Source organism: Homo sapiens, chromosome 2 (assembly GCF_000001405.40).
Source record: "Homo sapiens chromosome 2, GRCh38.p14 Primary Assembly".
Taxonomy (NCBI): Eukaryota; Metazoa; Chordata; class Mammalia; order Primates; family Hominidae; genus Homo; species Homo sapiens.
The window spans coordinates 143,122,480-143,135,381 of NC_000002.12; the positions used below are offsets into that span (position 1 = coordinate 143,122,480).

The 12,902-nt window shown below is 37.4% G+C and overlaps 1 protein-coding gene across 3 annotated transcripts in view; it reads left to right on the plus strand.

The window, feature by feature from the left end:
• The first annotated feature begins 6,939 nt into the window (after positions 1 to 6,939).
• Positions 6,940 to 12,902, plus strand: part of ARHGAP15 (Rho GTPase activating protein 15) — a 638,934-nt gene continuing 632,971 nt past the window's right edge. For all 3 annotated transcript variants that reach the window (NM_018460.4, XM_017004500.3, XM_047445114.1), the window contains exon 1: positions 6,940 to 6,987. Coding sequence is in view for 2 of the 3 variants with exons in the window: in XM_017004500.3 (XP_016859989.1) it covers positions 6,952 to 6,987 (36 nt within the window). In the remaining variant the exon portion in view is untranslated. The remainder of the gene's footprint in view (positions 6,988 to 12,902) is intronic.

Sequence of the window (12,902 nt, forward strand, 5' to 3'; positions counted from 1 at the left end):
GAAAGAAATGTCCCATTTTTCTTTGTTAATAATATAAATTTGGTCGTGTCCTTCTTTCTTTGGTGAGAAATGTAATTTCTATCACACTTTGTCCCCCAGCTCCACCACCAACCTTCAGCCCTTGAAACTACACAGAAATCCCTGGTGTCTCTGTGGTCCTCAGGCAAGCTCCCCAGGCCATTATGAATGTGTCTGAAATGCTCCTTGTCAACGTTCAGGGGCACAATTTGTAACACATCACTCTGATGTTCCTGGCACCCAAGAATCCTCACGGTGTTGGACTGCTTCACATGGTCTCCGCCCTCCTAAGACCTCTAACCCTTTACCCCATTTTTCCCCCATGGTAATTCTTATTCCCATCTTCCTATTTGACTGGAAGTGTTGTTGTAATTGGAAAAGAACTTCCACTGACACCAAACAGTGCACCTCCCTGCTTACCTACACCTTGCCCACGTACTCTGGCTTGGCTCTTGTTACAATGAGTGAGAGCTACTTCTGCTTCTCACCAAGGCCAAGGCCAGTAATGCCACCCGTGCCCTGAATCTTATTACCTCTCTTCTGCTTGAGGGCAGGACTCCGTAGGTTCTTCCCTTTCTCTCTGGCATCATCAGTTTTTTCCCTCTATAGAATCATCCCCCGATGACATACACACAGGTTGCTATTCTCCCATCCAAAACCAACCAAACAAAATACATAAATAAAAACTAAGCCCTCTGACTCCATTTCTTCCTGAAGGTGCCATGCTGTTTCTTATATGTCTATTCTTCCTATAGAGTATAATTTAAAAGATATCTACACCTGCCGTCTTCAACCTATTAAAAGAAGATTTCCTCATCTATATCTCACACAAATTGCTTTTTTGTCAAGGTCACAGTGCCCTCCATCTTGCTATATCTGAAGGTGATTTTGCCACTCTCATTTGAGGTGTCAGTAGCATTTGACAATTTATCAATCTCTCTTCCTTAAAAAACATTTTCACTTGGTTTTCAGGACACCACATTCACCTGTTTTTCCCTCCTTCCCTCCAGGCTCCCGTTTTGTTTTTGTTTTGTTTTGATTCATTTAGTCTGTTTTGTTATTTTTCTTTCTCCCAATCGTTAAACTGAGCTCTGGCGTTCAGTCCTTGAATATTTTCTTTTTCCTAGATACACACATTCCACAGGCTGTCACATCCAGTCTCGTGTTATTAAATGGTGCTTTTATACTGACGACTTCCAAATTTATGTATTTAACCTGGACTGCTTCCTTGACCTGTACACTGGCCACCTTCACTGAGATGACAAATAAACATCTCAAACTTAACATGTACTTCATGCAACCTAATGTGCCCCAATCCACCAAAGCCAGCTCCTCTAAAAGCATTTCTGTCTCAGTAAAACTTGATTTCTACTCAGTTGCTATTCAAAAGAAAATCCTATTGAGTCCATATTCAAAACACATCTAGAACTTGACCATTTCTCTATTATACCTGCTGCCCCACCTTGGTCAAAGTCCCAATTACCTCTGCCATGGATACTTGCAATAGCTAGCAAACTGGTCTCCCTGGTTCAACTCCTGCCCCTCTTCAGCCAGTTCTTCCTACAACAGACAGCATTACCTGATAAAACTGTGAGTCAGATTATCTTAACGTTTTTCCTCTTCAACCAGATTTTTTAAAAGATTAAGGGGACCCACGTGGTTCAGCCATCAATTACTCCTCTGACATAAGTCCCTGTGCCCCTCGTGTCTCACTCCACTGGAGTCACTCTCATCCCCATGAGGCTTTTCTACCATGCCAGGCACAATCTTCATTGAGGGCTTTTGCACCAACTATTCCTACTGCCTGGAACGCCTGCCCTCCATCTCTAATTTCACAGTGCCAGTTCCCTCACTTTTCTTAGGTCTTTATTTTCCTTAGTGAGACCTCTTTCATACAGCTTAAAATTTTATACTTCATCATCATTTTATGACCCATTTCTCTCCTTTTCTCTTTTTTCCTTATCAGTATTACTATCTAATGTATTCTATATTCTAGTTATTCATATTCTATTCCTAACCAGTATGTAAGATATAGTTGTTTTAGTCTGTTCAGGCTGCTATACCAAAAATACCACAAACTGGCTCTCTTAAAAATGACGAAAATTTATTTCCTACAGTTCTGGAGACTGAGAAATACAAGATCATGATGCCAGCAGACTCTGTGCCTGGTGAGGTCCCACTTCCTTATAGATGGCACTTTCTCACTGTCTCCTCACAGGGAAGGGTGAGCTAGCTCTCTGGGGTCTCTTTTAGAAGGGCATTACTTCCAGTCATGAGAGCTCCACCCTCATGTCCTACTGACCCCACAGAAGGCCCCAGCTCCTAGTACCGTTACCTCAGGGCTTAGGATTTCAGTGTATAAAATTTGGAGGTCGGGGGGAGCAAACCTATACCAACAATACATGTAAATTCTACTATATTGCCTGACATAGAGTAAGTGCTCAATAAGTTAATAGATTGCTCCCCGCAGATGAAAGCTTTTGCCAGCGCTGGGCAGCTGCTTGGGAGCGAAGCATAGCTCTCCCACGGGGAGAGAAAACCATCCCTCTCTCTCATCCTTGTCAGGGGAAACCTAACTCTTTCTCAGGTTAGGTCATGCCTTTCCTCCCTTTTCTAGTCTCCTTTAGTGTCCAACTCACAACATCCGTTCAGAGGGACTAGAAACCCCTGTTTTTCTCCCTAACCATACGCAAACACACAGATGCAATGCAGGTAAATATTACCTGAGCCACAAGAGCCAAGACCAAAATCATTTAACTTCTGGTGATAAAGGAGGAAAAACAATTCTGTGTGATAAATTTATCTGGACCATATATTTACACCAGATTTAGGTTGCTGGAACACAGTGCCTGCATATATTTTATTTTGTTCATTTTTGCCAGATTGCTTATCAGAATGGTTTCAGTTTACATTTCCTCCAGCAATGTATGAGAGTTCCTTTTTCCATACATTCTCAGCCAGATTTTTACCATTTCATTGGGAGCCAACTTAACTTGTATTACTGTAGATCTTGTGCATCTCTTCACACACTGGTTGGATATCAGGACAATCCTATTATTGAATTACTTATTCAACTCATTTTCTTATTCTCCAATTGGGATGCTTATCGTTTTCCTATTGGTCTGTATAAATATTTTGTAAAGCTAGATATTTTCTACTAGTCTCTTATTTTTCTATAATATTTGTCTATGTATTTCTTTAGCAGAAATATATAATGTATAGTGAAATACACATATTTTTGCTCTTTTTCTTTTTAATGTAGGGACACTGTTTAAGAAAGTTCCATTTTGCAAAAATATTTTCCTTCCTGTTACTGTGTCAACAGCGTGGTTTGACCTTTCAACTGTGGTTTTATCCATGTGAGGTCCATCTTTCCCTGTGTCTAATGTAGAAGCCCAAATCTATTATCCTCTATTTAGTAAGTATGTCTCACCAATATTATCTGATGAAACAGATCTGTTCCTTTTTGTTTATCTATGATGCTATCTTTGTCATATGTCAAGTTCCCAAATAAATACGCTGATTTTCTGAGCTGCTCCTTGGCCCAGCATTGAAATGTTTTTAATTCTGTGATTTGGACCATGTCAATCTAACATAGAAAATCAACAGTCCTTGATTTTTTGTTTGTTTCAAAATGAGCTTAGGTATTCTTGGACATTTGTTCTTCTAGGAAATTCTGGAAGGAGCTCATTGCATTCTTCAAAAAGTCCAGTTGGAATTATAATTATGATTTTATTGAATCTATTTGTAGAATAATTTAGGTAGATTGATGCATTTCCACTTTTTTTAAAAATCTGTGAACATAGTACATTTCTGTTTATCCTGATCTTCTTTTAATTTCTTTGATATAGATTTAAAATTTAGAGAACTTTCTGGAGACTTGATTTTATGATTCCTAGAAATGATTCCTACCTTCTAAGTTGATCATTCCAGTCAGTGAAAAGGCAAAAGGAATACCAGAAGTAAAATTTTTCCTGAGCACTATTGGCTTAGAGTTGTGCTGCATGCCAAGTGGTTAGGAGCTAGCACAGTAATTGAGAAAAAGGGCTCTGAGGTCAGAGCATCTGCGTTTGACTCCTGGCTCTACTCCTTACTAGTTTGGGCAACAAAGTAACCTCAGTTTCCTCATATGTAAAAATAATACAATAATATTGGCTAGCTCACAAATTTGTTGTGAGGATTAAAAGGCAGAATGAATGTAAAGTGCTTGGTACAATGCTTGGATTATGGCAAACATTCAAAAAATCTTAGCTACTAAAAACAGTGAGCATATCAAGCCACAAGTGTCAAGGCACTGACCTGTAGCCTTAATCATAGTAAGTACCTCTCCTTTTAGAAATCAAATCCAGGGCCGGGCACAGTGGCTCACGCCTGTAATCCCAGCACTTTGGGAGGCCGAGGCGGGCGGATCACCTGAGGTCAGGAGTTAACAACCATCCTGGCCAACATGGTGAAACCCCGTCTCTACTAAAAAAAATAAAAAATTAGCTGGGTGTGGTGGTGCACGCCTGTAATCCCAGCTACTCGGGAGGCTGAGGCACTTGAACCTGGGAATCACTTGAACCTGGAGGCGGAGGTTGCAGTGAGCCGAGATCATGCCACTGCACTCCAGCCTGGGCAATAGAACGAGACTCTGTCTCAAAAAAAAAAAAAAAAAGAAAGAAAGAAAAGAAAAGAAAAAAGAAATCAAACCCAGGCATATCACACTGCCTAAGGGGCTCACCTTCCACCTTATACAAAGAAAAGGGGCACTTGTCTCCATTAACTAATTGTTGATGCCAACAAATATTGTGTCACCCTTAAGCAGGTATTTACATTTATTTATTACCATAAGGGTATATTGTTATTTTATATTTTTCCTAGTCAGATGCCTGATGTTAGTATCTATTTAAAAGGAAAGGCATGGCCGGGAGTGGTGGCTCACGCCTGTAATCCCAGCACTTTGGGAGGCCGAGGCGGGCGGCTCATGAGGTCAAGAGATAGAGACCATCCTGGCCAACATGGTGAAACCTCGTCTCTACTAAAAATACATAAATTAGCTGGGCATGGTGGTGCATGCCTGTAATCTCAGCAATTCGGGAAGCTGAGGCAGGAGAATCCCTTGAACCCGGGAGGCAGAGTTTGCAGTGAGCTGAGATCGCGCCACTGCACTCCAGTCTGGCAACAGAGCGAGACTCCGTAAAAACAAGCAAACAAAAACAAGGAAAGGCCTAATTTATTTTCCTTGTCCTAGACTTCTGAGTCTAACTCAGATTTACAAAGGCTTAAATCAAGCAGAATGTACTGAAGTTCTCTGATGCTTCTTAGGAGTTATCAACATTTCCCAGCTCATGCTAATTTATATATCTACAATTCCTTATGATATACAAAATATATACATCTATTTACTTATCGTGTTCCCCAAGATGGATTTTTTTATGCGGATGTTTCATTACATGGATAAATGAACTAAATTTCAGAGAACTTAAGTAACTTGGCCAAGGTTAAGTGAATAGCAGTGTCAGAATTAAGCCCGGAATTCTGCTTTCCTCACTTTTAATATTATGAACTTTCCATTTTCTCTTCGGTGTTAAGGAGAAGCATTCAGTACAAATCTTCAGGACTCTAAACACTTAAAAAGGTCCTTCCTGAAATGAGAACTGACAGTGAATTCTAGGGTCAATCTGAAATGTGATTTTTAGAAAAAGATCCCAGAGAAATTCAGTTAACTGATAGGGACATGCCATCCCTAACTTGGGCCATATCCACCAAATCTATTTTTAAAGATTGACTTTTAGTATGCCAAACATTCTATACCACTGAGCTCTATTACACAGATTTCTAGTCTAATTGGTTTGTATGACAAGAGATTGTGATTTAACTCTCTCATATATTTGGAAGGAAAGCTTTTCCTCTCTTCCTTTTATGATTAAGCTGCAAATCTCACAAAACCAGCCAAGCCTGAAAATCCAGGAGCTTATTCTTGAACTCCATGGCTCAATAAAGATGCACATCCTAGAGTTATTTCTGAGACCCCTTACAAATATGTCTTGGGTTTGTTGAAGTTTGACACAAGAGGGCATTCAGCAGCATGCCAAAATGATATTGTTTGGATCCTTTATTATAATATATATTTTTTTTCTTTTTAAGTCAGACCACACAAAGAATCACTCAGCTAGAGCAAAAGCTCTTCAGCAGGTTTCAGAACTGCTTAGGAAATTGCCAGAGTGGACACATCCGTATGAGAGCCACAGTCACAGCAAATGCCACAGGGTGTGTTCGACGAGCATGATGAACACCTGCCTTTTCCCCAGATGCTCAGATGGCGGCGTGGCTCTGGGCTGTGTTTTCTGAAGTTCTAATGCAACCCTCCCAAGGCCTGATGAACCTGTTAACTGGATCAGGTTTTGGTGGGTCCTTTCATGAATGAGGCAGAGGCACCAGCTCTGTGAATTGGAGGTGGCTTCCTTGCTTCCAAAGTCAATATGCAGAGTGTCCTGATAGCATGGGAGCATCTCAAGCGTAGCCAGCAGAGTAGACGCTTCATTTTTCAGCCCTTGCTAGAAGGCAGAGAAAGAGGAAGTTTCTTCAGTGCTTAGCAGTCTGCTCCTCCCACTGATGAATTTTTAATCACACATTTTCCTCCCTTAAGTTAAAATTGATAAAATCTCTATACATGTGTCTTGTTTGACAATTGATAATAACATTGAAAAATAACAATATTGTTGACTATACAAGGCAATTTCTTCAAATTGAGTAATGATGTGATGTGTGTGGTTAACTGTCTCTACCCAGGAAGTGGTTTTATTTAAAAGTTTTGTGCTCACCCCACCCCCCGCCTTTTTCTTCCCCCAGTACTGAAATTAAGCAGCATCCAACACAGGCCTACTCTTACGACATGTGACTTTACTGTTTTCCGTTTTTGTTGAAAGAGTCATTAACAGTTAGGAGTTGATGGCAGTTTCAATAACAGGTCATTGCCGAGAAAAGGTAAGTTTTAACTTTATATTGTACATGAAATTTAAACTTGAACATGTTCGGCAGAGTTTCCTACATTTTGGTGTGAACATATAAACATTTCTACAAAATATGACGCTTTTACCTGTGATTAAAACATTGGCTGGTTTCCTTTGATGTAGAAAAGAATGTTCTTTTCATATTTGCAGCTGTCAAATTCCAATGTCTTTTACTAAAATGTTATAATAATAAGATGATTTGCTAAGATTTTGTACTAAAATGTTAAAGACAGAATAAGTTATAAAGTTTTAGTTTGAAGTGCATTTAAAAATAACTACTAGAAATAATGTGAGACTTTGCACCTTTAACCAACTGTTTTATAAAAATATGTATTGTTCAACATCCAGATAAGGAAAGAGAAAAGGGTATAACAATGAGAAATAGCTTGAATTTCAGTGTGAAAGATACTCACTTTAAAGCATTGTATTAATGTTAGCACTAAAAACCCTTAAAAAGGTTACTATGTAGCTAATTAAAAAGCAAGGAGCTTTTAAAATGTAAAGGAATACTGTCTATCATGACACTTGAAATTTTTTTTCTAAATTTCATTTAAGATATAGGGTGAAATGAGTGTAAGTTTCTAATTCATAAGCAAACTTTTATATTTAAAAAAGAAGTCACAGCTGATTTCATTGAAGGTTACTCTGAGAGGAGAGGCAAATTAGAGGTATACTTTTGTTATTTATGTAATTATATAATTTTCCTTCTTTGAAATATTCCAAAATAATAAACCTTAGAAATGAAAAGGATTTGTTAGTCCTAAACTGACATGTAATTTTCTTTTATATTGACTTCTTGCTTTTACAGAATGTCTTTGTGTGCTGTAACATATGTGCAGAAAACATCAAAATATTGCTAATCTCAGAGACAAATACCTAAAATAAATCTGACTGTAGATTTTTGAAAGAATTTTAATAACAGCCCAAGATATGATCCATTCTTCCCTAATATTATTTTTATTGTGCTGCTGGATGGGAGAAGTGATGGCCCCCACAACACCTATTTTTTGTGTTATTAAAAAATGGTTACAGGGTTGATAAGTGGCAACAATTTTCTTTTCTTTTATTGTCTTCTATTGAAAGACACACATAAATGTTTTTTGACATGGTCAATTTAGTAGGAAATTATTAGGCATAGTAGTACACTCCATTTTAAGACCTCTTCAATTGTCAATACTGAAGCTAGCTACTTGTTGACTATTAAAATGATCACAGAAAAATAGAGATTAGGACTTGGTGTTCAATACATTTTTTATTGTTAGCATGTAAGAAGACCCTGGTAATATATATTTGCTTTGATATTGTGATTAGATTTTCAATTTGTTGCATTTCCTCACAATGGAAAGCATTATTTAAATCTGTCTTCAATATCGTGGTTCTGAACCTCTGCATCTATAGAAGCTGTATAATTCTGATAATTTTGGTTGATATGTTATTACTTTCTTTCATTTTATTATAAAAGAATATCAAATGAATAAACACATGCAATACTTACACCTTAGCAAGAATGAATATGCAGATAAACATCTGGCATTGAGGAAAAGTCCATGAAAATTTTTTAAATTGTTTAATGCTTTTAAAAAAGAAATTCACTGTAAAAATGAGTGTTTCTTGCAGAAACTGTTAAATTAAAATACACATATTTTATGGAATATGTGTAAAATTAAGAATGAATTGAAGAGAGCTTGATATGAATTTAGAAAGATCAATGAGTAAAGATGATAGGTAAATTAAAATACCTTCAGAATTGTTTGTAAAGAGCAGTAAGGTACAAACCAAATTTTAAGACAGTTAATTGCAAATAAGTTACTATAGAATTCTATTACTTTATATGTTTTAAGTGGATGAGTCAGAAACAAGTTTTGATGAAATGAAAATAATACGGAAGATTTTATTTGGAAAGTCATATTAAAGCTAATTTGCTCAAAGAATGTCGTGCTTTTCCACTTAGGGCCAGCATTCAGTAAGATTCAGAAAGGAGAAACTCTTTCCTTGATATTCCTCCTGTTGCTCCTTTTTATTATTCTCTTCTGGAGCGGCCTGCTCTGCTCCTAATTTAGAGTCCCATAGACTTGGTACCTAGAAAGATAGACCCTTCCATTCACTGGCTCCTTCCATTCAACTGAACTTTTAAAATGTACTCATCCCATTTTCCAGCACTTAGGGAATCTAATAAAAATAATCCACGCTTATAGGAGAAGGCTACAGAGCTTTGACTTCCTAGCCAGGCCTCCCTTTCTCCCCCCAGTGGAATTTTAATATGTTTCCTCAGCAGACAGGGCCCAAAGGATTAGCTAAATGTTGGATCTCAAGTGAGGAGACTGATGCCATGGTAAATGGTTGGGGGAAGACTTTAGAGGGAGAGTGTTTTGTTAACCATTGGTCCTGCCTGTGGCATTTAAACACAGAATTTCTGGAAGTGTCTCATATGAAGGATCCATCCCAGTGATGTATCCATTTCTTTAAGATAGTCCTGAAGAAATAAACACCTTTCTTGCAGCAGGTAAAAAAAAAAAAATATTGCACTACATTTTCAGGCAATTTTGATATTCCCATACACTTAGAAATTATTTAACATAATTAGTTTTTAATAGATGTATTTTAAAAGTCATTGAACACTCTGAATTTAATTCTTTGGATACTAAAAGCATATTTTTTACACTGTACAATAAATGCTACATAATTAGACTTTAAAATGCCCTTGTAAGTATTCTAAATTTGAGCTTAGAGTGTGCAAAACTTCTTTGTTGGCAAACGATAGAAAATGAGTTCAAACTAGCCTAGGCAAAAGAGATATTCTTTTATGTGTGAAAAGTCTAAGGATAGCAAAGTCAGGAATGGCTGGATCCAGGAGCTCACACAGGATTATCAGGAGTAGGTCTCATTTTTTTCATTCCTCAGCTCTTCTTTTCACTATGCTGTAAGCAGTCTCTAGTGGAAGCTCTCACGAAATTGTCAAGCTCCTACTGAGTTGATCCTTTCAGCAAACTGTGGGGAAAGAATGCTTTTCCCCAGTCACCACAGCAAAGTGTCAGATTTAGATCTGATGGGACTGAATTGGATCACATGACCATAGCTGAACAATTACTGAACTTGGGTGCAGACAGCATGCGTGACCATGCCTAGCTCACAGGCCCACTCCTGCACTGGGGGCAGCTACAGCTGCAGCACTTGGGCTCTCTGCTAAAAAGAGGGGTCTCCTGATGTAGAAATTAAAATGCTTTCCCCAGAAGAAAGGACAAAAGCCTCAAAATTCTACTACGGAGTCACGTATGGTCACATTTTAAACAGTCATTATTTCCCAACTTCTTCAAATTCCATAATTGTACAAAAATACAGTTTTAATTGAAAGGCGGATCTGATTGAAACATGAGTTTGAATTAAACTAAATTTTAAAATATTTTTCAACAGCTACTGTATGTTTGACAACTCCTCACAACATTTGCCTTCTAAAAGCTTATAATCCAGAGTGACTATTATTTTAATAATTATGATGCAAATACAATTTGTCAAGTACCATAAGAAGATACAGAGAATGCTCTATTAGAGTTCAGAAATTCATCCAGCATTTTTGCATTCCTGTTATTTGCCGAGCCATAAACTAGAGAATTTTGTAAGTGTTGTATCATCTGATCACATACTTTCAGGGAGTTCTGGACAGTTTTGGAGGAAAGTTTTGTGGTAGTTTTCAGGGAAATCTAGCACTGGGAAGATGAGAAACATTGCAAGGGACAGGAAGGAAATATGTCAAGGCACAAAAACACGGCGTGTCAGAGAATTCCAAAGTAGTGTGAATTCTCCAGTTTTGTTAGACAGAAGTATAGTAATAAGAGGTAGGCCAGAAAGATAGTGTGAGATCATAAATAGAGTAGACCTGGATATAAGTAACAGCAGGGTTTTTGAGCAGGGGAGATACGTAATTGGATGTCCACACTTTTACATCTTGATGGGTTGTCTGTCTAGGGTCAGGATGTATTTGTTTCTTCCATTTATCTCACTGTGAAGTGACATTTTCTTTGCAGAAGAGTTTGAAGTCAGTGGAGATATTTCTGTAAGGACAGGCACTGACTTACCTGTTCAGGTGCCTGAGGTTCTTATTCAAGTTATGGTTATAACAATCTTTTTTTTCATTTGATGAAGGCCTTTTGTTTGTTTTGTTTGCTTTTAATTTAAGAATAGATGATATAGTGAGATGGTTCAAAATCAATATAAAACCAAAACACAATGTTTTTAGATAAGCTATTTCTTATATTTTTATTTCTATCTATCCCATTTATCCCCATCTTAATCCAACGTAACCACTTTTCATGTTTAATATATATATTTATACTTCACAGTTTATGTAAAAACCATATATATATGCACATCTATGTGTGTATGTATATAACATAACTGCACGCACCTCTCCACTTTGCTTTTTTTCTTTTAGAAATATAGATTAGAGATATTTTATAACAAAACTAAGGAACTAATTCTCTTTTTTACAGCTGTATACTATTCCACTATATGGAAATATCATACTTAATTTAACCAGCCTCCTGTAAAAAGAGTGATGGATGTTTTCAAGTTTTTCTAATTCAATGAATGTCCATGTAATTGTTTCTATTTGAAAATCTATCTATCTATCTATCTATCTATCTATCTATCTATCTATCTATCTACCTATCTATCTATCATCTATCTATCTATCATCTATCTATCTACCTATCTATCTATCACACATTTCCAGAAATAACATTTATGAGACAAAGGATAAAATAATTTTGATAGTTGTTGCCAAACTATCCTTCATGTTATTTGTAACTTTTTGAACTTCCACCAGCACTTAATGAGAATGCTTGCAGAAGCTTCATTGCTTTTTCAAGGGATTGTGTTGCCAAGCTTTGCAGGTTTTGCCAGTCTCTAACAACTGCATCTCAACACAGTTTTATTGATATTTCTGCTATTATGGTTAAAATTGATCTTCTTTTTAAAAGATTAAAGGTCGATTTGCTTTCCTTGTAAGAAAATGTATTCTTTCTCAGCTGTATAACTAAAGACCAAAACATTAGTGACTTTAGTGACACTCAAGCCTTGGAGTGAGATGTCAAAGGAAGCAAAGAACTAGAGATAGCATATATGAAATGCTGTATTCCTTTTCTTTTTTTTTTTTTTTTTTTTGAGACGGAGTCTCACTCTGTCACCCAAGCTGGAGTGCAGTGGTGCAATCTCGGCTCACTGCAAGCTCGGCCTCCCGGGTTCATGCCAGTCTCCTGCCTCAGCCTCCTGAGTAGCTGGGACTACAGGTGCCTGCCACCAAGCCCAGCTAATTTTTTTTTGTATTTTTAGTAGAGTCGGGGTTTCACGGTGTTAGCCAGGATGGTGTCGATCTCCTGACCTCGTGATCTGCCCACCTTGACCTCCCAAAGTGCTGGGATTACAGGCGTGAGAGCGCGCCCAGCCTAAATGCTGTATTCCTTTTCTAAAGCTTGAAATAGACAGTAGCTTAAAAGGGGGATAAAATATGAATGTTCAAGTGAAGGAGGAGAAAAGGAATGAAAATAAAGGAACCCAACAAGGTCTCAGAGGAGACTAAGACAGATGGGTATAATCACTGGCTCAAGTAGATGAATTAACCTTAAACAGAAGAGAGAGCACTTTAATGAGCGTGAATGCAGATGAATTGGATATAAGTAAGATTCAGTGAGGAGAGGAATTTGAGGGAATACATGCTTCATAGTTTCTATCTTTGCCTAAATGGTGGGAAAGTTCATCTGATGAAAGCATTTTCTGCATGTCAAAAACTAGACAGAATATCTTATTTTAAAACTTATCCTTGTCAGTAACACACAATACAATTGTGGATTTTGCAACTTATTTTTTATCTTTTGCTGGTTATTAGTCCAATTC